Source organism: Homo sapiens, chromosome 16 (genome assembly GCF_000001405.40).
Source record: "Homo sapiens chromosome 16, GRCh38.p14 Primary Assembly".
Taxonomy (NCBI): domain Eukaryota; kingdom Metazoa; phylum Chordata; class Mammalia; order Primates; family Hominidae; genus Homo; species Homo sapiens.
This window is the reverse complement of record NC_000016.10, coordinates 69,274,244-69,300,797: the sequence shown is the minus strand read 5'-3', so window position 1 is coordinate 69,300,797 and position 26,554 is coordinate 69,274,244. Positions and strand designations below refer to the sequence as shown.

The 26,554-nt window shown below is 43.6% G+C and overlaps 1 protein-coding gene across 4 annotated transcripts in view; it reads right to left on the bottom strand.

The window, feature by feature from the left end:
* The window catches only part of SNTB2 (syntrophin beta 2), a 121,889-nt gene that overhangs the window by 8,255 nt on the left and 87,080 nt on the right, over positions 1-26,554 (bottom strand). For all 4 annotated transcript variants that reach the window (NR_172088.1, NR_172090.1, NR_172089.1 and 1 more), the window contains 2 exons: positions 16,554-16,750; positions 1,024-1,208 (listed from right to left, as the gene is read on the bottom strand). Coding sequence is in view for 1 of the 4 variants with exons in the window: in NM_006750.4 (NP_006741.1) it covers positions 1,024-1,208; positions 16,554-16,750 (382 nt within the window). In the remaining 3 variants the exon portion in view is untranslated. The remainder of the gene's footprint in view (positions 1-1,023; positions 1,209-16,553; positions 16,751-26,554) is intronic.

Genomic DNA, 26,554 nt, shown 5'->3' with positions numbered 1-26,554 from the left:
CTACCATATACAGACAACTTAATAAACGAAGATGCAAAATAAATTTAAGGTAGGTAAAGAATGTGCCAGAGCTATGGAAACTCTTAGGAACTTAAAGCCACAGGCAAAAGTGCACTATGGAGTAAGGTTATTCCATGTCATAATACTGGTGTGAGGTTTCACATCCCCAATTAGGAGACAACTGGTGGTGTACTGGGTTTCACCATGCCTGGTAGGAAGAACTAAATAGTAGAGGATTTAAAATCTAAGGCCAGGCACGGTGGCTCACGCCCATAATCCCAGCACTTTGGGAGGCTGAGGCGGGCAGATCATGAGGTCAGGAGATTGGGACCATCCTGGCTAACACGGTGAAACCCCATCTCTACTAAAAATACGAAAAATTAGCCAGGCATGGTGGCACGTGCATGTAATCTCAGCTACTCGGGAGGCTGAGGCAGCAGAATTGCTTGAACCAGGGAGGCAGAGGTTGCAGTGAGCTGAGATGGTGCCACTGCACTCCAGCCTGGGCGACAAAGCGAGACTCCGTCTCAAAAAAGAAAAAAAAAAGAAAAATGACGGCAACAAAAACCAACACCCAATGCCATCTTGAAAACTGAAGAAGAGCAGATACAGTGGCTCACACCTGTAATCTCAACACCTTGGGAGGCCAAGATGGGAAGATCACTTGAAGCCAGGAGTTCAAGACCATCCTGGGCAGCAAAGCGAGACCTCATCTCTATAAAGAATATAAAAAATTGGCCAGGCATGGTGGCACACACCTATAGTCCAGTCCCAGTTACTCAGGAGGCTGAGGTGGGAGGATCACTTGAGCCCAGAAGGTATAGGCTGCAGGAAGCTATGATTGCACCACTACACTCCAGCCTGGGTGACAGAGACCCCATCTTTAAAAAAATTTTTTTTAATTTAAAATTTCATGGTTCTAAATGGAATGTCAGTCCATGACTTTGTATATAAGGGGTAAGAAGTAATGAGAAGGAAAGAGAACATCTATTAGATAAACATGTGTTTCAGAAACACTCTTACCAGTTCTCCCTCGGGACCACCAAAATCCAAGTATAGATTTCGGATGCCATCATCAGCAGACATCTTCAGCCTTTCAAAGGGGTAGCGGTACAATATGCTGCTGGAGCCTCCATTTTCCCTTGAGATGGTGAACCCATTTTCATAGTGAATAGTAAGCCTCACCTCTTGGCCATTTAACATGCAGCCTGTTGAAGAAAAGCAAAAAACATTAGTTGTAAAGTTGCTATGTCAGTTATCAAGTGAAAAGGGAATCTTCTGACTTCAAAATAGGAAAAATATTTTCTTGAGAATGTGTGATACCTAACCTGTATGGAAACTTCTAAAGTGTGTTTTGTGCTAGGCGTGGTGGCTCACGCCTGTAATCCCAGCACTTTGGGAGGCCGAGGCAGGCGGATCGCAAAGTCAGGGGTTTGAGACCAGCCTGACCAACATGGTGAAACCCCGTCTCTACTAAAAATATAAAAATTAGCTGGGTGTGGTGGCGGGTGCCTGTAATCCCAGCTACTCAGGAGGCTGAGGCAGGAGAATTGCTTGCACCCGGGAGGCGGACGTTGCAGTGAGCCAAGATTGCACCACTGCACTCCACCCTGGGCGACAGAGCAAGACTGTCTCAAAAAAAAAAAAAAAAGAAGTGTGTTTTGTTTTGGTCACTGAGATGAGGCAGAAATGACCATAACACTCCTTGACATCTGTTCGATTTAATTCCTCGAGTACCCACTGAACACTCATACTGGCAAGTGTGTGTAGGCTGTGCAAGGCACTAGAGAAGTAAGAGGCACAGTCCCTGCTCTCAAGGACTTTGTAAACTCATTGGCATAGACAGGAAATCCCCAATTGTGTAAGGCAGAATGTACAGAACATGAGCAAACACCAAAGTGAATGAGGCCAAAGTCAAGAAAAGGTTTCCTGGAGGAGATGGGCCTTCAGATAGGCCCTAAAGAATTGGTAATACTGGCCGGGTACGGTGGCTCACACCTGTAATCCCAGCACTTTGGGAGGTCGAGGTGGGCGGATCACTTGAGGTCAGGAGTTAGAGACTAGCCTGGCCAACATGGCGAAACCCCGTCTCTACTAAAAATACAAAAATTAGCCAGCCATGGTGGCACATGCCTGTAATCCCAGCTACTTGGGAGGCTGAGGCAGGATAACTGCTTGCACCTGGGAGGCAGAGGTTGCAGTGAGATGAAATCACGCCACTGCACTCCAGCCTGGGTGACAAGAGCGAGACACTGTCTCAAAAAAAAAAAAAAAAAAAAAAAAAAGAATTGGTAAAACTGGACAGGCAGGGAGGAAGAGGCAGAAGGACTGAACTGGGCAAGAAGGACCAACCAAAGGAGCAAAGGCAGAGAGGCCTTTCAGGAGCCGTGACATGGTTTGGTTGGCATTTGGGATGAAGATAAAGATTATGTTCATCAAAGTTAAAGGCTATACTCAGCAAAAGTCACAGTCAACGCTATCAAAGATACAATTCAAAGGACACCTCTGAATTGACAGGATACAAACAATTTTGGTCATCAAGACTGGCAAATGCCCCAGGTGTGGTGGGTCATGCTTACAATCCCAGCACTCTGGGAGGCTAAGGCAGGAGGCAGGAGGATCACTTGAGGCCAGGCGCTAGAGAACAGCCTGGGTAACATGGCAAGATCTCATTTCTATAAAAATAAAAAATGTATCTGGGCATGGTGGTGTGTGCCTATAGTCCCAGCTACTCAGGAGGCTGGGGTGGGAGGATCACTTGCGTCCAGGAGTTCAAGGCTGCAGTGAGCTATGATCATGCCACTGCACTCTAGCCTGGGTGACAGAGCAATGTCTAAACAATTTTAAAAAGAGAGATTTAGAGATTCTTTTTTTTGTTTGTTTTGAGATGGAATCTCCTTCTGTCACCCAGGCTGGGGTGCAGTGGCGTGATCTCGGTTCATTGCAACCTCACCCTCCTGGGCTCAAGCAATTCTTCTGCCTCAGCCTGCTGAGTAGCTGGGATTACAGATGTACACCACCACGCCCGGCTAATTTTTTTGCATTTTTAGTAGAGACAGGGTTTCACCACGTTGGCCAGGTTGGTCTTGAACTCCTGACTGCAAGGGATCCATCCACCTCGGCCTCCCAAAGTGTGGGGATTATAGGCGTGAGCCATTGCACATGGCTTCTTTTTTTTTTTGGAGACAGAGTCTCGCTCTGTCTCCCAGGCTGGTGCAGTGGCGTGATCTTGGCTCACTGCAACCTCTGCCTCCCAGGTTGAAGCAATTCTCCCGCCTCAACCTCCTGAGTAGCTGGGATTACAGGAGCGTGCCACCACACTAGGCCAATTTATGTATTTTTAGTAGAGACAGGGTTTCACCATGTTGGTCAGGCTGGTCTCAAACTCCTGACCTTGTGATCTGCCCGCCTTGGCCTCCCAAAGTGCTGGGATTATAGGCATGAGCCACCGTGCCCGGCCTCCTTTTTTTTTTTTTTTTTTTTTTTTTTTTGAGATAGAATCTTGCTGTGTCACCTAGACTGGAGTGCACTGGCGCAATCTCAGCTGACTGCAACCTCTGCCTCCCGGGTTCAAGCAATTCTCATGCCTTAGCCTCCTGAGTAGCTGGGATTACAGGCGGGCACCACCACACCCAGCTAATTTTTTGTATTTTTTAGTAGAGACGGGGTTTTGCCATCTTGCCCAGGCTGGTCTTGAACTCCTGAGCTCAGGCAACCCACTTGCCTCGGTCTCCCAAAGTGCTGGGATTACAGGTGTGAGGCACGGCACCTGGCCTGAGATTTTTTTTTTTTTTTGAGATAAGAGTCTCACTCTGTCATGCAGGCTGGAGGGCAATGGCGCAACCTCGGCTCCCTGCAACCTCCACCTCCCAAATGATTCTTATGCCTCAGCCTCCCGAGTAGCTGGGATTACAGGTGTTTACCACCACACTCAGGTAATTCTTGTAGTTTTAGTAGAGACAGGGATTTCACTATGTTGGCCAGGCTGGTCTCAAACTCCTGACCTCACGTGATCTGCCCACCTTGGGCTCCCAAAGTGCTTGGCCCCTGAGATTTCTTTTTTCTTTTTTTTTTTTTTGAGACAGAGTCTCTCTGTCGGCCAGGCTGCACTGCAGTGGCATGATCTCGGCTCACTGCAACCTCCGTCTCCTGGGCTCAAGCAATTCTCCTGCCTCAGCCTCCCGAGTAGCTGGGATTACAGGCATGTGCCACCAGGCCTGGCTGATTTTTTGTATTTTTAGTAGAGACAGGGTTTCACCATGTTGGCCAGGCTGGTCTCAAACTCCTGACCTCAGGTAATCCACCCGCCTCGGCCTCCCAAAGTACTGGGATTACAGGCATGAGCCACCGCGACCGGCCTGAGATTTCTTAAATGTTCTGTTTTGGATTGTTTCCCCTGGAGAAGGAAAGAATGGAAAGCAAATGTGACTGTGTGTGATTCTGTGTGTGTGTGTCAAACTTAATGTATTTAGGTCTAGATATTGAGCTTGTTTTAGTTTAAAAAAAATTTTTTTTTTGAGACGGAGTTTCACTCTTGTCACCCAGGCTGGAGTGTAATGGCGTGATCTTAGCTCACCACAACCTCTGCCTCCTGGGTTCAAGCAATTCTCCTGCCTCAGCCTCCCAAGTAGCTGGGATTAAGGCCTGCGCCACCACGCCTGGCTAATTTTTTGTATTTTTAGTAGAGATGGGGTTTCTCCATGTTGGTCAGGCTGGTCTCGAACTCCCGACCTCAGGTGATCCACCCGCCTCGGCCTCCTAAAATGCTGGGATTACAGGCATGAGCCACTACACCCGGCCATAGTTTAAAATGTATAATTAATACCAGATTCTTCTGAATGAGACTGTGACCTGGTCATGTAAATGCTGTGCCAAATCGAACCAATTAAACAGTTTTTCTCTAAACATTGAGTACATCACACCACAGTGATGCAATGATGATTAAGTGCCTGACACCCCTTACCCTTTTAGGAGTAATGAACCAAAGGGAGATAGGGGAAATAAGCCTTTCATTCTGATTTAACAGCTATGTGTGTGTGTATGAGAAGTGGCTTTTTTTTTTTTTTCAGTATAAATTCCCCATTTAGTAAGAGGAGTGGCCCTTTTCTGACGGGATAGCATCTGGGACTTATTAATGGAGCTGTTGCAGGTGGCTCATTATGTCTTGGTTCACTTAGAATGCTTTTGGATGGCTATGTGTCCACTATGCACTCCAATTTATAGATAAGTCAGTAAAAAATTCAGTATGTTGGCTGGGCGCGGTGGCTCACGCCTGTAATCCCAGCACTTTGGGAGGCCAAGGCGGGTGGATCACAAGGTCAGGAGTTCGACACCAGCCTGGCCAATATGGTGAAACCCTGTCTCTACTAAAAATACAAAAATTAGCCGGGAGTGGTGGCAGACGCCTGTAGTCCCAGCTACTCGGGAGGCTGAGGCAGGAGAATTCCTTGAACCTGGGAGGCAGAGGTTGTAGTGAGCAGAGATCAAGATCGGGCCACTGTACTCCAGCCTGGCAGACAGAGCAATACTTTGTCTCAAAAAAAAAAAAAAAAAAAAAAAAAAAAAAATTCAGTATGTTGATTTTGTTTAACAGGGTTGTTACCAGAAATAGAAAAAGACACACAATAGCAGCACAATAGTAAGTACTGAAGTTAAAGGGGTAAAAAACTACAGTTTTGGCTGGGCGCAGTGGCTCACACCTGTAATCCTAGTACTTTGGGAGGCCGAGGCAGGTGGATTGCCTGAGCTCAGGAGTTCGAGATCAGCCTGGGCAACATGGTGAAACCCCATCTCTACTAAAATACAAAAGAAATTAGCCAGGCATGGCAGTGTGTGCTTGTAATCCCAGCTACTCAGGAGGCTGAGGCCGGAGAATTGCTTGAACTTGGGAGGCAGAAGTTGCAGTGAGCTGAGATTGCACCACTGCACTCCAGCCCTCCAGCCCTCCAGCCCGAGTGACAGAGCGAAAAAAAAAAAAAATCAAAAACTACAGTTCTTCAGGTATCAAGAGAGGAAGGTACATAAACACAGGGCTCTGCGGTAGGTGCTTTTATTTTATTTTATTTTAGATGGAGTCTCGCTCTGTCGCCCAGGCTGGAGTGTGGTGGCATGATCTCGGCTCACTGCAACCTCCGCCTCCTGGGTTCAAACGATTCTCCTGCCTCAGCCTCCCTAGTAGCTGGGACTACAGGGGCGCACCACAACGCCCTGCTAATTTTTGTATTTTTTTTTTTTTCAGTAGAGATAGGGTTTTGCCATATTGGCCAGGATGGTCTCAAACTCCTGACCATAGGTGATCCACCCTCCTTGGCCTCCCAAAATGCTGGGATTACAGGCATTAGCCACCATGCCCAGCCTGTAAAATCCTTTATAGTGATAAGAGTTTCAGTGTATGGGACTGACTGATGGCTCTTTAGTCAAAAAACAATTTTTTTTTTCCTGATGATACAAGCATGATGTAACTTTAAAAATTCAAACAACTGGCTGGGCACAGTGGCTCATGCCTGTAATTCCAGCACTCTGGGAAGCTGAGGTGGAGGACTGCTTGAGGCCACAAGTTTGAGACAAGTCTAGGCAACATAGTGAGATTCTATCCCTACCAAAATTACAAAAATTAGCCAGGCATAGTTGCATGCACCTGTAGTCCCAGTTACTTGGGAGGCTGTGGTGGGAGGATTGCTTCAGCCTGGATGCAGTGAGCCATGTTCGTGACACTGCTCTCCAGCCTGGGCAACAGAATGAGACTGTCTCTCTAAAAACAAACAAACAAACAAACAAAAAACATAAAATAAAAATTCAAACAACATAAAAGTGGCCTATAACTGCAGTTGGATTTAGGGATGGAGAAAAAGCCAGGGATGTCTATGGCCCAAATTACTGAGCAGTAAAAGGCACTGCCCACTTCAACAGCCAAGATAGGCTCTACATCTCCCTCCGTTATTTCTTCTCTTCCATCTGTCCCTCTTCCAGGCTAAGGCCAATCCCCTCACCTGTGCCTTGGATTGCATCTACCTCCACCTTCCTAGAAATTGTAAAAGATTGATTACTACTTCTACCTCTTGTGTTTTCAACATGTCCCTCTGAATCAGATCCCTCCCATTCACTTTTTTAAATGCTCAAGCCTCTCTCATTATTAAAAGAAATGCCACTACTCAACTCTGTACCTTACCTCCAAGTACCACTCCCCCTCTCTCCTCCTCTTCATATCAAAACTTCTTGAAAGAGCTGTCTACTCAGTTTGCCCATGATTCACCTCACGTCCACTCCTCAGACCTCTGCAATCTGCCATTGCCATTACATCGTTTTGCATCTCTCCCCAAGGACATCAATTATCTCCATATCGCTAAATCCAACCTGCTTTTTCAGCCTCATCCTACTTGGCACTTGTAGTACTAATTGTTGGCTGTCTATCAGCTTCTATTTCTCTATTCTTCTTTATAGGCAAACCTCAATTTTATTCAGGTTTTTACTGTGTCCTAATGTGTTTCAGGGAAGGGTACTCCCGACTTATGGATAGACAGCTTCTGGGTCAGTCAAAGCATGGGTTTCCCCTGGTGATTGTTCTGGTTCAGACTGGACATATGAGCCAAACTGACTCAATCAGATTGAAAAGATCTATCACTAGGAAGAGAAGGGCCCTCTCTCTTTCACTCTTGCTCTCTTTTATGCAAGATATTTAATATTTATTCTAGTTTTAGTGGCCATGTCCTACTATTTTTAGCATAAATCATCCCAACTAATACATTTACTCCTACTGACTTTTCCTCCCTTGAAATACTCTTCCTCTGGTTTCCATGGCTGTTACCATCCCCACCAATCCCGGTTTTCCTTCTACTGCTCTGACTACTACTTCTCAGATTCCTAAGTTGGGGGTTGTGGGGTGAGGCACTGGCTTTTTCACACCACGGGGATGTTGTTAAGTATAAAACATACATTAGAGATGGCGTTCTAAGAAGCTCCCCGATAGTAATTTAATAAAGCTAGGAGGAAAACTTGCTCAATAAATAATAAATCAAAAAATTGATGTTATAAGAAGGTGAACACTCGGCCGGGCGTGGTGGCTCATGCCTGTAATCCCAGCACTTTGGGAGGCCGAGGTGGGTGGATCACCTGAGGTCAGGCGTTCAAGACCAGCCTGGCCAACAGGGTGAAACCCCGCCTCTACTAAAAATGCAAAAAAAAAAAAAAAATTAGCTGGGCATGGTGGTGGGCACCTGTAATCCCAGCTACTCAGGAGGCTGAGGCAGGAGAATTGCTTGAACCCGGGAGGCGGAGGTTGCAGTGAGCCAAGATCGTGCCATTGCACTCCAGCCTGGGCAACAAGAGCAAAACTCTGTCTCAAAAAAAAAATTATATATATATAATATATATATATATATAATATATATATAATATATATATATATATAATATATATATAATATATATATATATATATATATATAAAAAATAAGGTGAACAATGGTAAATACAACCAGTGTTGTATTTATCCACTTTGTGTAGATAGTACAACCAGTGTATATGTTATCCACTTTGTGTCTATGTATTTATATTTATTTTTTTGAGACAGAGTCTCGCTCTGTCGCCCAGGCTGGAGTGCAATAGCGTGATCTTGGCTCACTACAAGCTCTGCCTCCCGGGTTCTCGCCATTCTCCTGCCTCAACCTCCTGAGTAGCTGGGACTACAGGTGCCTGCCACCACACAGGCACCTGCCACCACACCCGGCTAATTTTTTGTATTTTTAGTAGAGACGAGGTTTCACTGTGTTAGTCAGGATGGACTCGATCTCCTGACCTCATGATCCGCCCACCTCGGCCTCCCAAAGTGCTAGGATTACAGGCGTGAGCCACCGTGCCCAGCCTATTTATTTATTTTTAAGACAGGGTCTTACTCTGTCGCCCAGGCTGGAGTGCAGTGCTGCAGCCTGGACCTGCAGGCCTTAAGCAATCCTCCCACTTCAGCCACCTGAGTAGCTGGGACTATAGGCATGTGTCACCATGCCTGGCTAACTTTCAAAATTTTTCATAGAGACGCGGTCTTACTCTGTTGCCCAGGCTTATTTTATTTATTTTTTATTTTTATTTTCTTTAGAGACAGGGTCTCATTCTGTTGCCTAAGCTGGAGTGCAGTGGTGTGATCACAGTTCACCGCAGCCTCAAACTCCTGGGCTCAAGTGATTATCTTGCCTCAGTCTCCCAAATAGCTAAGACTACAGGTGCATGCCACCATGCCCAGCTCATTTTTTTTAAATAGAGATGGGGGGTCTTGCTGTGTTACCCAGGCTAGTCTCGAACTCTGGTGTCAAGTAATCCTCCTGCCTTGGCCTCCCAAAGTGCTGAGATTACAGGCATAAGCCACAGCGCTGGGCCAACTATGTGTTTTTTTAAATGAGAACTGCTGGTGGTTATCAGTGTGTCATGAGGGATAAAGAACCTAATGGCAGAGTTCTATGCTACAGGTCCTGTTTCTGGGGCTCTGGGGGGCCCTATCTAGTGTTTCCAGCAAGTCCCCAGGCCCATCTCTCTAGCAGCCATAGGACTGTGTGTGTTACTCAGAGCACCTCAGAAGGGAGTAGGTCTTTCAGGTTAGACCTGGCCTGACAGCCCAGAACTGTCTCAGAGAAAGGCTGGGGCATCCTTCCCAGTGACTGCACATAGGAAAAGCCAGCCCATCAGGTATAGGCAACAGGTTCATCATGCCCAGGGTCACAGAAAAGAACATGACACTGTGTTCTCTTATTGCTATTTGGTCAAAGGCATGAAGTACATCTTACTTATTTTTCTTTTATTACAAAGCACAGCACTTGATAAATACTAAAACATTCAGTAAATATGTATTAACAAATTAGACTGATATTGTATATCCTTCAGAAGTTTAACCTGGTCATAAGTGTGAGTCATTTAGAGAAATTTCAGGGCTTAAGGCTCTAGTTCTGGAGCCCAAAAAGGCCCCAGTTCAAGTCCTAACCATACTAACACCAGTTCCCATATCTTGAAAATGCAGGTGACAACATCTGCCCCAGAGAGTTGTGTGTGAAGGTTAGATGATGCCTGTATTTCATTTATGCCTTATGACAATCCTGATACATACCTATTATTCTTTTGGTTTCTGTCCTTCCTACTTGAAAAATAGGGGCTATGCTTACCTTATTTTATTATAGCTAGTAAAAGCACAGAGTATATACTGAAAAATATTTGCCAAACCGATGAGTAAAAAGGACTCAAGATAATTTCTAAGAAATGGTGAATAATATGGTCACAGAAAACTCTTTCTTCATATATTTTAACAATATAAATCCTTGTAAATGCCTGTTTTTCTTCTCTTCTCCTAGATTTTCTTCATTTTTATTAACGTAATTCCTACCTATATTTACTGCTTCTTAGTCTTCATATCATCAAAACTACAGACATATAAAGTGCCTTCATAAAGTTCTCGTATGACTTAAAAACTTTAATGGCTTAAATAATTGGTATGATGAAAATAAGCCTTTAAAAGTATACTATACAATTTTTAAAATAGTTTCAAATCCTGTGACAAATGGAAATGGCTTTCTGTACTTGAGGAAGAGAGCTGCATTCTATGCCTACTCATCTTGAAGTTCATACTTGCAAGCAGGAGAAAGTCCTTCTGTACCAGAGGGATCACTGATTAGCTCTACTGTAACTATAGCCTAATCAAGGTTTAAAACTAAATGAACATTAGGAAGATTATGTATTGAATTTACTCGTCACATTTTGTAGGTATTCATTGACATGTTTCTAGATGGGTAAACTATAACCAAAACATAGAGACAAGGAACAGCTTAACTGATTTCTTTTTGCCAACTATAGTTTTAACAGACAGTTCTGAATCTCCCAACAATTTCCTTTTTTCTTTTGAGACAGGGTCTTGTTCTGTTGCCCAGACTGGAGTGCAGTGACGTAATCATAGCTCACTGAATCCTTGACCTCTCGGGCTCAAGCAACCCTCCTACCTCAGCCTCCTGAGTAACTGGGACTACAGGCACACACCACCAGGCCTGGGTAATTTTTTAATTTTTTGTAGAGACGGGGTTTCGCCATGTTGCCCAGACTGAGCTCAAGTGATCCACCTGCCTCAGCCTCCCAAAGTGCTGGGATTATAGGTGCGAACCACAGTGTAATCTTTTTTATATTAATATGTAATATTTGTATATATCTTAGGGGTACATGCGATATTTTGTTACCTGATATTTTGTTACATGTGTAAAATGTGTAATGATCAAGTCAAGGGATTTAGGGTATCCATCACATTGAATATTTAACAATTCTATATGTTGGGAACATTTTAAGTCCTTTCTTCTATTTGAATTATACAATGCATTATTGCTAACTATAGTCACCACACTCTGCTCTTGAACATTAGAATTTATTCCTTCTTTCTAATTGTATGTTTATACCCATTAACCAACCCTTCTTCACAGCCCCTCACAACACGCCCATCCCAACCTCTGGTATTTATCTTGTACTGTCTACATCCATGAGATCAACATTTTTTTTTTTTTTTTTTTTGAGACGGAGTTTAGCTCTCGTTGCCCAGGCTGGAGTGCAATGGTGCGATCTTGGCTCACCGCAACCTCTGCCTCCCGGGTTCAAGCAATTCTCTTGCCTCAGCCTCCCGAGTAGCAGGGATTACAGGCATGCATCACCACACCTGGCTAATTTTGTATTTTTAGTAGAGATGGGGTTTCTCCATGTTGGTCAGGCCGGTCTCGAACTCCTGACCTCAGGTGATCCGCGCGCCTCGGCCTCCCAAAGTGCTGGGATTATAGGTGTGAGCCACCACGCCTGGCCACTTTTTTAGCTCCCATATAAGTGAGAACATGCCACATTTGTCTTTCTATGCCTGCCTTATTGCACTTAACATAATGACCTCCAATTCCATCCATGTTGCTACAAATGACATGACTGCAATATTTTTTATGGCCAAATAGTATCCCTTTGTGTATATATACCATATTTTCTTAATCCATTTGTCTGCTGATGGACACTTAGGTTGATTCTCTATCTTTGTTATTGTGAATAGTGCAGCAATAAACATGGAGGTGCAGGTATCTTTCTGACATGCTGATTTCTCTTCTTTTGGATAAATACTCAATAGTAGGATTGCTAGATCATACAGTAGTTCTATTTTTAGCTTTTTGAGAAATATTCATACTGTTTTCCGTAATGGCTATACTGATTTACATTCCCACCAACAGTGTATAAGAGTTTGCTTTTCTCTGCATCCTCACCAGCATCTGTTATTTTTTGTCTTTTGAATATTAGCTACTCTAACAGTTACCAAGGTAATATTAAAATACAGCTATATGGCTTTAAAGGGAAGTTGATTTAAAAAAATACAGCTGTGAATAAGAACAAAAAAGTGTAAAATTACCGAAAAATATGTTTCTTTTGTCTATTTAAAAATACAAGGAACCAGCTGGCTCTCACTCTTCCTTTCCTCTAGCCATCATATTTAAACAACTATGAGCCTGGGAAGCTTTAACCTGAAAAATGAAATTTAGCTGCTAGACACCAAAGAAACAACATGAACTAAAAAATGCTGAAAATCCAAGTTGCACTCTTGATTTTGGGAAGCATATCCCCTTGAATTCTTGAGGACAATACAGTGACCCCAGATGGTAGCAACGGCATGAATGTGTTGGCCTGACCCCTCGACTGCCCACAGGAACACAGAGCATCCCAGTGTGATTCTGGTGTAAGCCACCGTGCCTCACCTCCAATACTGTATTTTTTTTTAAACCTCATTTACTCTTTTTTTTTTCAATAGAGATGAGGTTTCACCATGTTGCCCAGGCTGGTCTTGAACTTCTGGGCTCAAGTGATCCGCCCACCTCAGCCTCCCAAAGTACTGGAATTACAAGCGTGAACTACCGTGCTTGGCCCAATGCATATACATATATATATATATATATTTTTTGAGACAGAGTTTCCCACTGTTGCCCAGGTTGGAGTGCAGTGGTGTGATCATAGCTCACTGCAGACTCCGCCTCCCAGGTTCAAGCAATTCTTGTGCCTCACCATCCCGAGTAGCTGGGACTTAAGGCATGTGCCACTATGCTCAGCTAATTTTTGTATTTTTAGTAAAGACGGGGTTTCACTATGATGGCCAGGCTGGTCTCGATCTGGCCTCAAGTGATCTGCCTGCCTCAGTCTCCCAAAGTGCTGGGACTACAGGCATAAGCAACCGCTTCCAGCATTTCTATTTTTGGAAACAGTCTCACTCTATCTCCCAGCTTGGAGTGCAGTGGCGCAATCCTGGCTTGTTGCAATCTCCACCTCCCGGGTTCAAGCAATTCTCATGCCTCGGCCTCCTGAGTAGCTGGGATTATAGGCGCCTGCCACCACTCCTGGCTAACTTTTGTATTTTTAGTAGATATGGGGTTTCACGATGTTGGCCAGGCTAGTTTGGAACTCCTGACCTCAAGTGATCTGCCCTCCTTGGCCTCTCAAAGTGCTGGGATTACAGGCATGAGCCACCGCGTCCGGCCCCAGCCTGTATTTTTAAATAAAGGTTTTCATTTTGTCCAAAGCCAAAAACAATTTAAAAAAAAAGAAAAAAATTTGCAAATATCTACATGTATACATATATGTAAATATATATAAAAAACAATACTCCAAATTCATGACAACTAACCACAAGAGGGCGCTTCCACAATGGAAAGAAACCAACCTTATTTCCTTTAGATACTTATTTGAGTAAGTGTTGGGCACACATTTTCAAACTTTTGTAGAGTAACTCCTATTTCAAATCCTTTATTTTTCCATAGCCATAAACTTGCTAGATACTCATCTTTTAAGGGCGCCTATCCACAACTTAGATTTCAATCTTCTTAACTGGAGAGTCCATGTATCTAGTACTTGGTAAATGAGTCCTTACATTATTTTTTCTTTTAAGAGACAAGGTCTCACTATGTTGTCCAGGCTGGAGTACAGTGGCTATTCACAGGCTTGATCATTGTGCACTACAGCCCTGAAATGGGCTCAAGCAATCTTCCTACCTTAGCCACCTGAGCAGCTGAGACTACAGTGTGTGCCACTATGTCTGGCTTTTTTTTTTTTTTTCATTTAATTAAATTTATTTATTTATTTTGAGACAGGTTCTGGCTCCCATCACCCAGGCTGGAGTGCCATGGCACTACCATAGCTCACTGCAGCCTTGAGTTCCTGGGCTCAGGTGATCCTCCTACCTCAGCCTCCTGAGTAGCTGGGGCTACAGATGTGTGTCACCACTCCCAGCTAAATTTTTGTATTTTTAGTAGAGATGAGGTTTCACCACTTTACCCAGGCTGGTCTCAAACTCCTGGGCTCAAACAATGCGCCAGCCTTAGCCTTCCAAAGTGCAGGGATTACAGGCATGAGCCAGTGTACCCAGCTTCATTTTTCATTGTAGAGATGGGGTCCTCAATATATTGCTCAGGCTGGTCTTAAAACTCCTGGCCTCAAGCAATCCTCCTGCCTCAGCCTCCTAAGTAGCTGGAATTACTGGCTAGTTCTTACACTACTAAATGCAGATTAAATGACAACTGGCCTGGCACAGTGGCTTGTGCCTATAATCCCAGTTACTCAGGAAGCTAAGACCAGAGAATAGCTTGAAGCCAGGAGTTGAGACCAGCCTGGGCAACACAGTAAGACCTCATCTCTAAAAAAATAAATAAATAAACCGAAGACCAGGCGTGGTGGCTCACACCTGTAATCCCAGCACTTTGGGAGGCCAAGGTAGGCGGATCACCTGAGGTCGGTGGATCACCTGAGGTCAGAAGTTCAAGACCAGCCTGGCCAATATGGTGAAACCCTGTCTCTACTAAAAATACAAAACTTAGCTGGGTATGATGGCAGGTGCCTGTAATCCCAGCTATTCAGAAGGCTGAGGTGGGAGAATAGCTTGTACCTGGGAGGCGGAGGTTGCAGTGAGCTGAGATCATGCCACTGCACTCCAGCCTGGGCGACAGAGTGAGACTCCATGTCAAAAAAATAAATAAGTAAACTGAAAAGGCCAGGTGCCACTGCCTGGAATCCCAGCACTTTGGGAAACTGAGGCAGGAGGATCTCTTGAGGCCAAGAGTTTGAGACCAGCCTGGGCAACAAAGCGAGGCCCATCTCTACTTAAAAAAAAAAAATTTTTTTTTTAATTAGCTGGGTGCTGTGGTGGGCACCTGTAGTCCCAGCTACTCGGGAGGCTTGAGGGAGGATCACTTAAACACAGGAGAGTTCAAGGCTGCAGTGAGCTCGGATCATGTCACTGCACTCCAGCCTGGGTGACAGAGCTAGACCCTGTCTCTTTAAATAAATAAATAAATAAATAAATAAATAAATAAATAAATAGAAGCTCAAAGCTGCTGCAGTGAGCTATGATGGATCATGCCACTGGACTCCAGCCTGGGTGATAGAGATCTCCACTCTAAAAAAAAAAAAAAAAAAAGAGAGATGAACTATAAAAATGTCATGTTGTACATACGGTATTATAAATGTACTTCGAGTCATATACCAGGCTTAAAAAAACTTTGCTAGTAAACTAGAGAAACCAGGTTTCTTTCTATCATTATCACTTTTAGCTGCCATATTTTAGCACATTTTTAAGTCTGGCACAAATAATAGTTTTACTTTAAAACAGATTATGGTACAGTCATGCATCACCTAATGACAAGAATATGTTTGGAGAAATGCATAATGCATCATAAGATGATTTCGTGATTGAATGAACATCATAGAGTGTACTTACATAAGCCTACATGGCACACCCCACTATACACCTAAGCTCTATGGTACTGCCTATTGCTCTTAGGCTACAAACTTACATAGTATGTTACTGCGCTGAATACTGTAGCCAGCTGTAACACAATGGTAAGCATTCGTGTATCTTTTTTTTTGAAACAGGGTCTCACTCTGGTTGCCCAGGCTGGAGTGCAGTGGTATGATCTCAACTCACTCAGTCTCCCGAGTAGCTGGGACTACAGATGCACACCACCACCCTCAGGTTTGTTTTTGTTTGTTTGTTTGTTTTTGAGACGGAGTCTCACTCTGTCGCCCAGACTGGAGTGCAGTGGTGTGATCTTGGCTCACTGCAACCTCCGCCTCCCGAGTTCAAGCAATTCTCCTGCCTCAGCCTCCCGAACAGCTGGGACTACAGGCACATGCTGCCACGCCTGGCTAATTTTTTGTGTTTTAGTAGAGATGGGGTTTCACTGTATTGCCCAGGCTGGTTGCGAACTCCTGAGCTCAGGCAATCCACCTGCCTCGGCCTCCCAAAGCTCTGGGATTACAGGCATCAGCCACTGTGCACGGATTTTTTTTTTTTTTTTTTTTTTTTTTTTTTTTTAGTAAAGACGGGGTTTCACCATGTTGCCCAGGCTGCATTTGTGTGTCTTAACATATGTACACTTAGAAAAGGTATAGTAAAAATATAGTAGTATAATCTGAGGGGACTGCTGTCATGTATGCAATCCATCACTGACTGAAATGTCATTATGCAGCACATGACTATATAACAGTTCTATTTAATTACTACTAGAAATAAAAAGTCAGCATCTCTACCTAGAGAGACTTCCTTGATCAGCTCAGCAGCAGCATGGCAACCCTGAACAAGTATCCTGGTCCAGGATGACAGATCCCGATGTGTCTCCACCCTGAAGAGATGCATCTCAATGCCCTGTCGAGAGCCTGTCCTGGTAGCAAATGTAAGGTCAGATCCAAGGGAGGGGGATCGACATCCGGAGCCAGAATGAACCAACCTAGGACCACAAACAGAGCAGAGATCAAAAGTAACTACATTATCAGACAAAAATGTCAGGAATTTGTGCTCATTGATAAGAGAAACTTATAAAAGCAATCAGCAGTTTTTGGATATAGACATTTCAAAGCAAGATTATAGTCTCTGAAATACAGACCATTCTGTTTTCCCATAAAATGACCCCTGGTATCACAGTCAGACAAGATACCAGTCTTGAACTCCTGGGCTCAAATAATCCTCCTGCCTCGGCCTCCCAAAGTGCTGGGATTACAGGCGTGAGCATCTGGGCCTGGCCAAGATACTGGGCTGGATGAACCGTGGCCCTAATTTTCCATGAGCTCCTCTATGCTCCCAAGAGGTTATATGTATCAAAAAGATATGATTTTGATTAGGAAATAAGTAAATTAACAGTAATAACTTCAGAGGAAAAATATGCTTCTGTAAGAAAAAATGGATAGCTAACTGCATTTCAAACATTTCAGCCAAAGAGCTTAAAATATATATATTTTTAGCATCAATCTCTTGTCCAATCACCAAAGAACTTCCAATGGTAGAAGGCAGTGAATATCTCATCTGGGGAGATGCAGCTAGTAAAGAAGCACAGTGAACATAAAGTCGGGTTTTATCTAAAAATTCATGCTGCTTTTGCATTTGACTCTAGAATTATTTGGCCTATGAAGAAATGTTATGTGAAAAAAATGATTCCAAAATAAATAAAACTGTCTTTGTTTGCAAATGACATGACTGTCTACATTTTAAAAATCCCCCAAAATAGACAAAGGAAATCTGGATGCATGCAGTGACTCACACCTGTAATCCCAGCACTTTCAGAGGCTGAGGCAGAAGGATCACTGGAGACCAGGATTTTGAGACCAATCTGGGCAATACAGAGACACCCTGTCTTTACAAAAACAAAAGAAAACAAAAAACAACAAAAAAAATCTCAGCATGGTGGTGTGCATCTGTGGTCCCAGCTACTTGGGAGGCTGAGGTAGAAGGTTGCTTGAGCCCAGGAGGTTGAGGCTGCCATGAGCCATGATTATGCCACTGTATTCCAGCTTTGGCAACAGAGTGAGACCCTGTACACAACTCCTAAAACTGATAAGCAATTATAGCAATGTTGCAGGATATAAGATTAATATACAAGTCAGTTGCTTTGAACAATTGAAATTTGAAATTAAAAACATACCATTTATGTCAGTTACCATAAAATGAAATGCTTAAGCATAAGTCCAACAAAATATGTATAGAATCTCTATGAGAAAAACTTCAAAACTTTCCTGAAAGAAAGCAAAGATGATCTAAATAAATCAAGAGATATTTTACGTTCATGGGTAGAAAGACTCCATATTAAGATGTCAGTTCTCTTTTAGGTGATCTACAGATTCAATGCCATCCCATTAAAATCCCAGCAAGTTATTTTGTAGATACTGATAAACTGATTCCAAAGTTTGTATGGAAACTCAAAAGACTCAGATAGTCAACATAATACTAAAGAAGAACAAAAGTTGAAAATAAATCTGTATACTGGCACCACTCAACTTTCACTTACTATAAAGCTACAGTAATCAAAACAGTGTGGAACTGGCAAAAGAACAAACAAATTGATCAATGGAACAGAATAGACAGCCCAGAGACAAACCCACACAAATACAGTCAACTGATCTTTGACAGAGAAACACAGGTGATTCAAGCCGGGAGTGGTGTCTCATGTCTGTAATTCCAGCGCTTTTTTTTTTTTTGTATTTTTAGTAGAGACGGGGTTTCACCATGTTAGCCAGGCTGGTCTTAAACTCCTGACCTCAGGTGATCTGCCTGCCTGGGCCTCCCTGAGTGCTGGAATTACAGGCATGAGCCACTGTGCCCAGCCAATTCCAGCACTTTGGGAGGCCAAGGCGGGCGGATCACTTGAGGTCAGGAGTTTAAGTCCAGCCTAGCCCACATGGTAAAACCCCGTCTCTACTAAAATACAAAAATCAGCCAGGCATGGTGGTGGGCGCCTGTAATCTCAGCTACTCGGAAGGCTGAGGCAGGAGAATCGCTTGAACCCGGGAAGGTGGAGGTTGCAGTGGCCGAGATTGCGCTACTGCACTCCAGCCTGGGCAACAAGAGCGAGACTCCCTCTCAAAAAAAAAAAAAAAAAGAGAGAAACAAATGTGATTCAATGGAGAAAGAATGGTCTTTTCTTTCTTTCTTTTTTTTCTTAAGATGGAGTCTTGCTCTTCTCGCCCAGGCTGGAGCACAATGGCATGATTTCCGCTCACTGCAACCTCCGCTTCCTGGGTTCAAGCGATTCTCCTGTCTTAGTCTCCCGAATAGCTGGGATTACAGGCTCCTGCCACCATACCCAGCTAATTTTTGTATTTTTAGTACAGACAGGGTTTTACCATGTTGGCCAGGCAGGTCTTGACCTCAGGTGATCTGCCTGCCTCGGCCTCCCAAAGTGCTGGGATTACAGGCGTGAGCCACCGTGCCCAGCCAAGAATCGTCTGTCTTTTCAACAAATGCCGCTACAAATAAGTAGACATCCATATGTAAAAAAAAAAAAACAAAAAAAAAAAAACCAGACCTTACATACTTTTCACAAAAATTAACTCAAAATGGATCTTTGACCTAAGTGTAAAACACAATACTAAAATTTCTACAAAAATTAGCCTGGGATGGTGGTGGACGCCTGTAATCCCAGCTACTCAGGAGGCTGAGACAGGAGAATCGCTTGAACCTGAGAGGCGGAGGTTGCAGTGAGCCGAGATCGCGCCATTGCACTCCAGCCTGGGGGACAAGAGCGAGACTTCGTCTCAAAAAAAAAAAAAAATCTATAACATAGGAGAAACTCTAGATGATTTAAAAGGATATAACATCAAAAGCACAATCCCTGAAGAAAAAAATTGGTAAGTTGGACTTCATTAAAATTAAAAACTTCTGATCTGCAAAAAATACTGTTAAGAGAATGAGGCCGGGCGCGGTGGCTCATGCCTGTAATCCCAGCACTTTGGGAGGCCGAGGCGGGCGGATCACGGTCAGGAGATCGAGACCATCCTGGCTAACACGGTGAAACCCTGTCTCTACCAAAAATACAAAAAATTAGCCGGGCATGGTGGCAGGCCCCTGTAGTCCCAGCTACTCGCGAAGCTGAGGGAGGAGAATGGCGTGAACCCGGGAGGCAGAGCTTACAGTGAGCCAAGACTGCGCCACTGCACTGCAGCCTGGGCAACAGAGCGAGACTCCGTCTCAAAAAAAAAAAAAGAGAGAATGAAAAGACAAGCTGCGGACAAAAAAATTTTGCAAAACACATATCTGATACAGGACTGGTATCCAAAATATATAAAGAACTCTTAAAACTGAACGATAAGAAAACCACCCAGTTAAAAAATGGGCAAAGCCGGCCGCCCCTACTGGGAAGTGAGGAGCCCCTCTGCCCGGCCAGCCGCCCCGTCCGGGAGGGAGGTGGGGGGTTCAGCCCCCCGCCCGGCCAGCCGCCCCGTCCGGGAGGGAGGTGGGGGTGTGAGCCCCCCGCCCGGCCAGCCGCCCCATCCGGGAGGGAGGTGGGGGGGTCAGCCCCCCGCCCAGCCAGCCGCCCCGTCCGGGAGGTGAGGGGCGCCTCTGCCCGGCCGCCCCTACTGGGAAGTGAGGAGCCCCTCTGCCCAGCAACCACCCCGTCTGGGAGGTGTACCCAACAGCTCATTGAGAACGGGCCATGATGACAATGGCGGTTTTGTGGAATAGAAAGGGGGGAAAGGTGGGGAAAGGATTGAGAAATCGGATGGTTGCCATGTCTGTGTATAAAGAGGTAGACAGGGGAGACTTTTCATTTTGTTCTGTACTAAGAAAAATTCTTCTGCCTTGTGATCCTGTTGATCGGTGACCTTACCCCCAACCCTGTGCTCTCTGAAACATGTGCTGTGTCCACTCAGGGTTAAACGGATTAAGGGTGGTGCAAGATGTACTTTGTTAAACAGATGCTTGAAGGCAGCATGCTCGTTAAGAGTCATCACCACTCCCTAATCTCAAGTACCCAGGGACACAAACACTGCGGAAGGCCGCAGGGTCCCCTGCATAGGAAAACCAGAGACCTTTGTTCACTTGTTTATCTGCTGACCCTCCCTCCACTATTGTCCTATGACCCTGCCAAATCCCCCTCTGTGAGAAACACCCAAGAATGATCAATAAATAAATAAATTAATTAATTAATTAATTAATTAAAAAAAATGGGCAAAGGACAGCCAGGCGTGGTGGCTCACACCTGTAATCCCAGCACTTTGGGAGGCTGAGGTGGGCGGATCATAAGGTCAGGAGATCGAGACCATCCTGGCTAACACGGTGAAACCCCGTCTCTATTAAAAAAAATACAAAAAATTAGCCGGGCATGGTGGCAGGAGCCTGTAGTCCCAGCTGCTCGGGAGGCTGAGGCAAGAGAATGGCGTGAACCCGGGAGGCGGAGTGTGCAGTGAGCCCATATCGTGCCACTGCACTCCAGCCTGGGCGACAGAGTGAGATTCCGTCTCAAAAAAAAAAAAAAAAAAAAAAAAAAAAGGGCAAAGGACCCACTTCTTGGTATATATCCAAAAGATCTCAAAACAAGATCTTGAACATATTTGCCCACCTATGTTCACTACAGCATTAACCACAACAGCCAAGAGATGGAAGCAACTTAAATGTCCACTGACAAAAGAAAGGATAAAGACAATTTGGTATAAATATACAATGGAACATATTATTCAGCCTAAAAAAGGAAATACTGTCATAATCTACCACACTTAGCCAGTCACAAAAAGACAAATACTACATGAAGCCTACTTACATGAGGTATCCAAGGTAATCATACTCATAACAACAGAAGGTAGAATGTGGTTATCAGGGATTGAGGGAGAGATGGAAATGGAGAATTGTTGTTCAATAGATATAAAGTTTGTTTTGCAAGATAAAGTTCTAGAGATCTGCTACACACAATGTGCATATAGTAAACACTAATCTACTGTACACTTAAAAATAATTAGATGGTAAATTTTGTGAGTTTTTTAAAATAAAAATTTATCTGCTAAGGCTCTGTCATCCATGTTATGAGTTTTTTTAGTATATGTGCTGCCGAAGCGAGCACACGTTATGAGTTTATTAACACACACACACACACACACACACACACACACACACACACACACTCTTCCCACCTCTGTCCATCAATAAACAATAACCAACCCAACAGCAAGAAGTGTCCTTAGTGCCCAGATTGAAATCACCCCCTCCCCCAAAAAGATGGTAAGGCTTCTTAGGGAATACATAAGACTGCAATATTGGCTGGGTGTGGTGGCTCATGCCTGTAATCCCAGCACGTTGGGAGGCCAAGGCGGGCAGATCACCTGAGGTCAGGAGTTTGAGACCAGCCTGGCCAACATGGCGAAGCCCCATCTCTACTAAAAATACAAAAATTAGCCGGGCATGGTGGTGCACACCTGTAATTCCAGCTACTCGGGAGGCTGAGGCAGGAGAATCGCTTGAACCCAGGAGGTGGAGGTTGCGGTGAGCAGAGATTGCACCACTGCCCTCCAGCCTGGGTGACAGAGCAAGACTCCGTCTCAAAAAAAAAAAAAAAACCCTACAAAAAAAAGTGAAGTATACATATAGGAAAACCATAAGAAAAGTAATTTTCCTTAAGGTCATGAAACTATTCAGTATTTTGCTTTACAGTTTAATCTATTCACTTTTTATATTTTCTTTTTTTTTAATTTTCATTTTGAGACAGGGTCTCACTCTGTCCCCCAGACTGGAGTATAGTAGCACAGTGTTGGCTCACTGCAACCTCCACCTACCCAGCTCAAACAATCCTCCCATCTCAGCTTCTGAGTAGCTAGGACTATAGGCATGCGCCACCACGCCCAGCTCATTTTTATATTTTGTGTAGAGATGTGGTCTCATTATGTTGCCCAGGCTGATCTTGAACTCCTGAGCTCAAGTGATCCTCCCACCTCAGCCTCCCAAGTAGTTGGGACAATAGGCGCGTGCCGCCGTGCCTGGCTCATTTTTGTATTTTGTGTAGAGATAAGGTCTCATTATGTTGCCTAGGCTGATCTTGAACTCCTGGGCTCAAGCGATCCACATGCCTTGGCCTCCCAAAGTGCAGGGATTACAGGCATGAGCCACCACTCCTGGCCTCACTTTTTATATTTTCCCTATTTTAAAGAAGTATTAAGTAGATCAGTGTAACAGAACAAAATATTACCTCATTTATAAGGATTCACTCACCTCACAATGTTTTCTATACAGGATTTTTAAAAATTTGGTGAGGAATGTACATCAAAGAGAAATAAATAAAATCTCTTTAATGTCTAGCTTAAAAATAGCTGAATTTTGACATCTGCTTCAGCATTCTATTGTAATATGCAGTTACAGCCTCACATAAATATGTAGTTGGAAAAGGGAAGAGTATTTTAATAGCCCATTCACATTACGTGGATAGCCTTCTGTCCACAGAACCAAAACTCAACAAGTGGTTTGGTAAAGATTAATTGCAATGTGGAATATGAAACCTTATCAATAGTTTCTGTATCATGTTTACATTAAAAATCAACTGGTTTCCCTTGAAATTTCAATGGATCTTTTTTATGCATGCATAATTTTGCAACACCATATATCATTCATTTGGAAAAATATTTGTTCACTGAGTTACACAGATTTTCCATGTTAAAAATGGTTCATTATAAAAGATAAAAAAATCTCATTTGGTATTACCACTAATCTCCCCAGAAAAGCAAGTACTGAGAAGCTGTCAAGCTCACAGTAGCAGATATGAGTTTTCCAGCATTCTAATTTTTGCTTGAAAGCTACAATTTTATCATTGGCAACAAATACTATCAGTGTTTTCCTCAAGTTACAGACTCATTTTGGTGATGTGACAAATACCCAAGTCTCACTAAACGTGTTTGTCAATCAGTCATTCTTTCAAATAAAAAATGATGTTTACATGAAAAAGCATGTATGGAGTTCAGCTGAGAATTCAATCACACATGTGCTTTTCCTTGAGACAACAGTCATTCTTCAGTATGCAGCAGAAGTGCTCCATGAGTACTTCCCATTTCATCACACAGAATGTTACAAAGATGAATACTCAAGGGTCAAGATTAAATAAAATTAATATTTTTTACTATTTCAGCAGAGACATTTGGAAGTTAAACTGGCATTTTTTTTTCCCTCTGCAAGTCCACGTGGGGACGGATACAATGACTCCCAAAACAGTTTCGTGCCAACTGCCTTGATTCATGCTAAGGTGCCAGCAATTTTACACATCCTCAGTGTAAATATCAACAATATGAAAAAAAGCAAATTACATTTAATATTACTATGAAAATAGCTTTGAACTCACAAGGCCCCTGAAAAGGGGATCCGCAGAGGTCCATGAAGTATACTTTGAGAACTGCTTTACTGAGCTGATTCCCAAAAAACCAACATGCCAATTAAACATTAGCTACCTCAGAAAGAGTTAAGTAAGTTTCAAAATTACTCCACAGAGGATCCAAGTAAGACAAAGTGTTGGTGAAAGCAATAGATATTCTATCATATTCAGTTTGAATGCTAATCCCAAAACAGACATTAAAAAACGTAAAGTCTAAGAGAATTTTTTCCTACAGATTTGATTATGAAATATTTGGCAAAGGGAATCTAATTCAAACCAGATGCTGGACTCTCGCTGAGCAGCGGTTGGTTGGGAACACTGCTAAAAGGCCCCCCTTTTGTGGAGAGGCCAGATGAGTTCATGCAAAGGCATTTTGGCAGCTTTTGCCCCACAAGTCCCATAAGCACAGCACTACTCAATATTCCACATTCTAAAGTCACCACACTTTTTTTTTTTTTTGAGATCTTTTTTCTCTTCCAAAGAAGGCTTATAGGAAAAGACAACAAAATCCATATCCTGAAAAATCCAGAGCACCTATAAAACCAGTGTCTTTCTACCTGTGTCATGTATCTGGCTTTAATCTCAAGAAATGTGTAAAATAAAAATCCTCTTCATTTATCACTTTCATGCTTTACTTATTCCTCATTGGCCTGAACTATCAGCTATTAAAACCCACACACGTACAGAGCTTTGGTTTTGAAGAATCTGTAAATGTGCAATCCAATATAAATGGCAGCTCATGGTTAATTTACATTACTCTAAGCATGTTATTTGATTTTGAACTACAATCAACTCTTAATTTTTCAGGAGTTATCTACTTTTTTTAACATAATAAAGGTCCTTAATTTCTTTTCCTTACCTATGTGTTTATGCAATCCTTTTTTATTCTGTCTCATCCACTCATAAGAACATGGTCCAAAGTATTAACAATAGAATTAGGGAAATTAAACATTCAGCCCCTTCTCATTACTCACTTAAATCTCAAACACTCCCTTTCCCCTACATTAAAAACACTTTCTGGCCTTGCCTCCCTCTGCAGGATACCTTCTGGTCTGGTTTCATCTTCTTGTCTCTCTCAGGGTTACCCTTTACCCGCCTCTGGTTGGTAGAGGATCATTAAGCCCCACTTAATTCTATTGTGCTGTGACTTCAACCAATTCTACCTTGCCAACATGGCCACATGGAAAAACTAAACCTTTCATCTGTCTTTTTTTATTCTAATCCACCAGTACTTCCTGAACAAGGAGTAAAGAATCCCTGTTGTTACATTAATTAAACTTATTAAGAAACAACATGAATTGGTATGGTGGCTCATACTTATAATCCCAGAAATTTGGGAGACTGAGAGGCATGAGAATTGTTTGAGCCCAGGAGTTTGAGACCAGACTGGGCAACACAGCAAGACCTCACCTCCATAAAAAATTAACCTGGCATAGTGGCTTATGCCTATAGTCCTAGCTACTCGAGAAGCTGAGGTGGGAGGATGGCTTGAGCCCAGGAGTTTGAGGTTACAGTGAGCTATGATCCTGCCACTGCACACTCTAGACTGGACAACAGAGTGAGAGTTCGTCAGAAAAAAAAAGAGAGAAGGAAGGAAGGAGAGAGAGAGGAAGGGAGGGGAGAAAAGAAAGGAAAAGGAAAGGGAAGGGAAGGGAGGGAAGGGGAAGAAAAAGGAAAGGGAAGGAGGAAGGAAGGCAGACAATCAGTCTAGGAAGCTCTATAAGACCCACCCATTTAATTAATGGTGAGTTTAATTTGCATGTATGAGCATGTTTGAATTCCTCACCTTTAATACGAAACTTTGACTATCTGTAAAAATTGGTGGCAGATCAAAAAACTGCTCCTTTTCCTTTCTTTTAATTTTTTTGAGACCAGAGGTCTCACTATGTTGCCCAGGCTGGTCTTGAACTACTGGGCTTAAGTGACTCTTCCAGCCTCCCAAGAAGCTGGGATTACAGGCACGTGCCATGGCACCCAGCTAAGAGCTCCTCTTTTTTTTTTTTTTTTTTGAGATGGAGTCTCGCTCTGTCTCCCAGGCAGGAGTGCAGTGACGCGATCTTGGCTCACTGCGAGCTCTGCCTCCTGGGTTCATGCCATTCTCCTGCCTCAGCCTCCCTAGTAGCTGGGACCACAGGCGCCCGCCACCACACCCGGCTAATTTTTTGTAGTTTTAGTAGAGACGGGGTTTCACTGTGTTAGCCAGGATGGTCTCAATCTCCTGACCTCGTGATCCACCCGCCGTGGCCTCCCAAAGTGCTGGGATTACAGGCGTGAGCCACCACGCTGGGCCAGAGCTCCTCTTTTAACAATGACCAAATTAAACTAATTATTATACTTTTTTTTTTTTTTTGAGATAGAGTCTTGCTCTGTTGCCCAGGCTAGAGTGCAGTGGTGCAGTATCAGCTCACTGCAACCTCC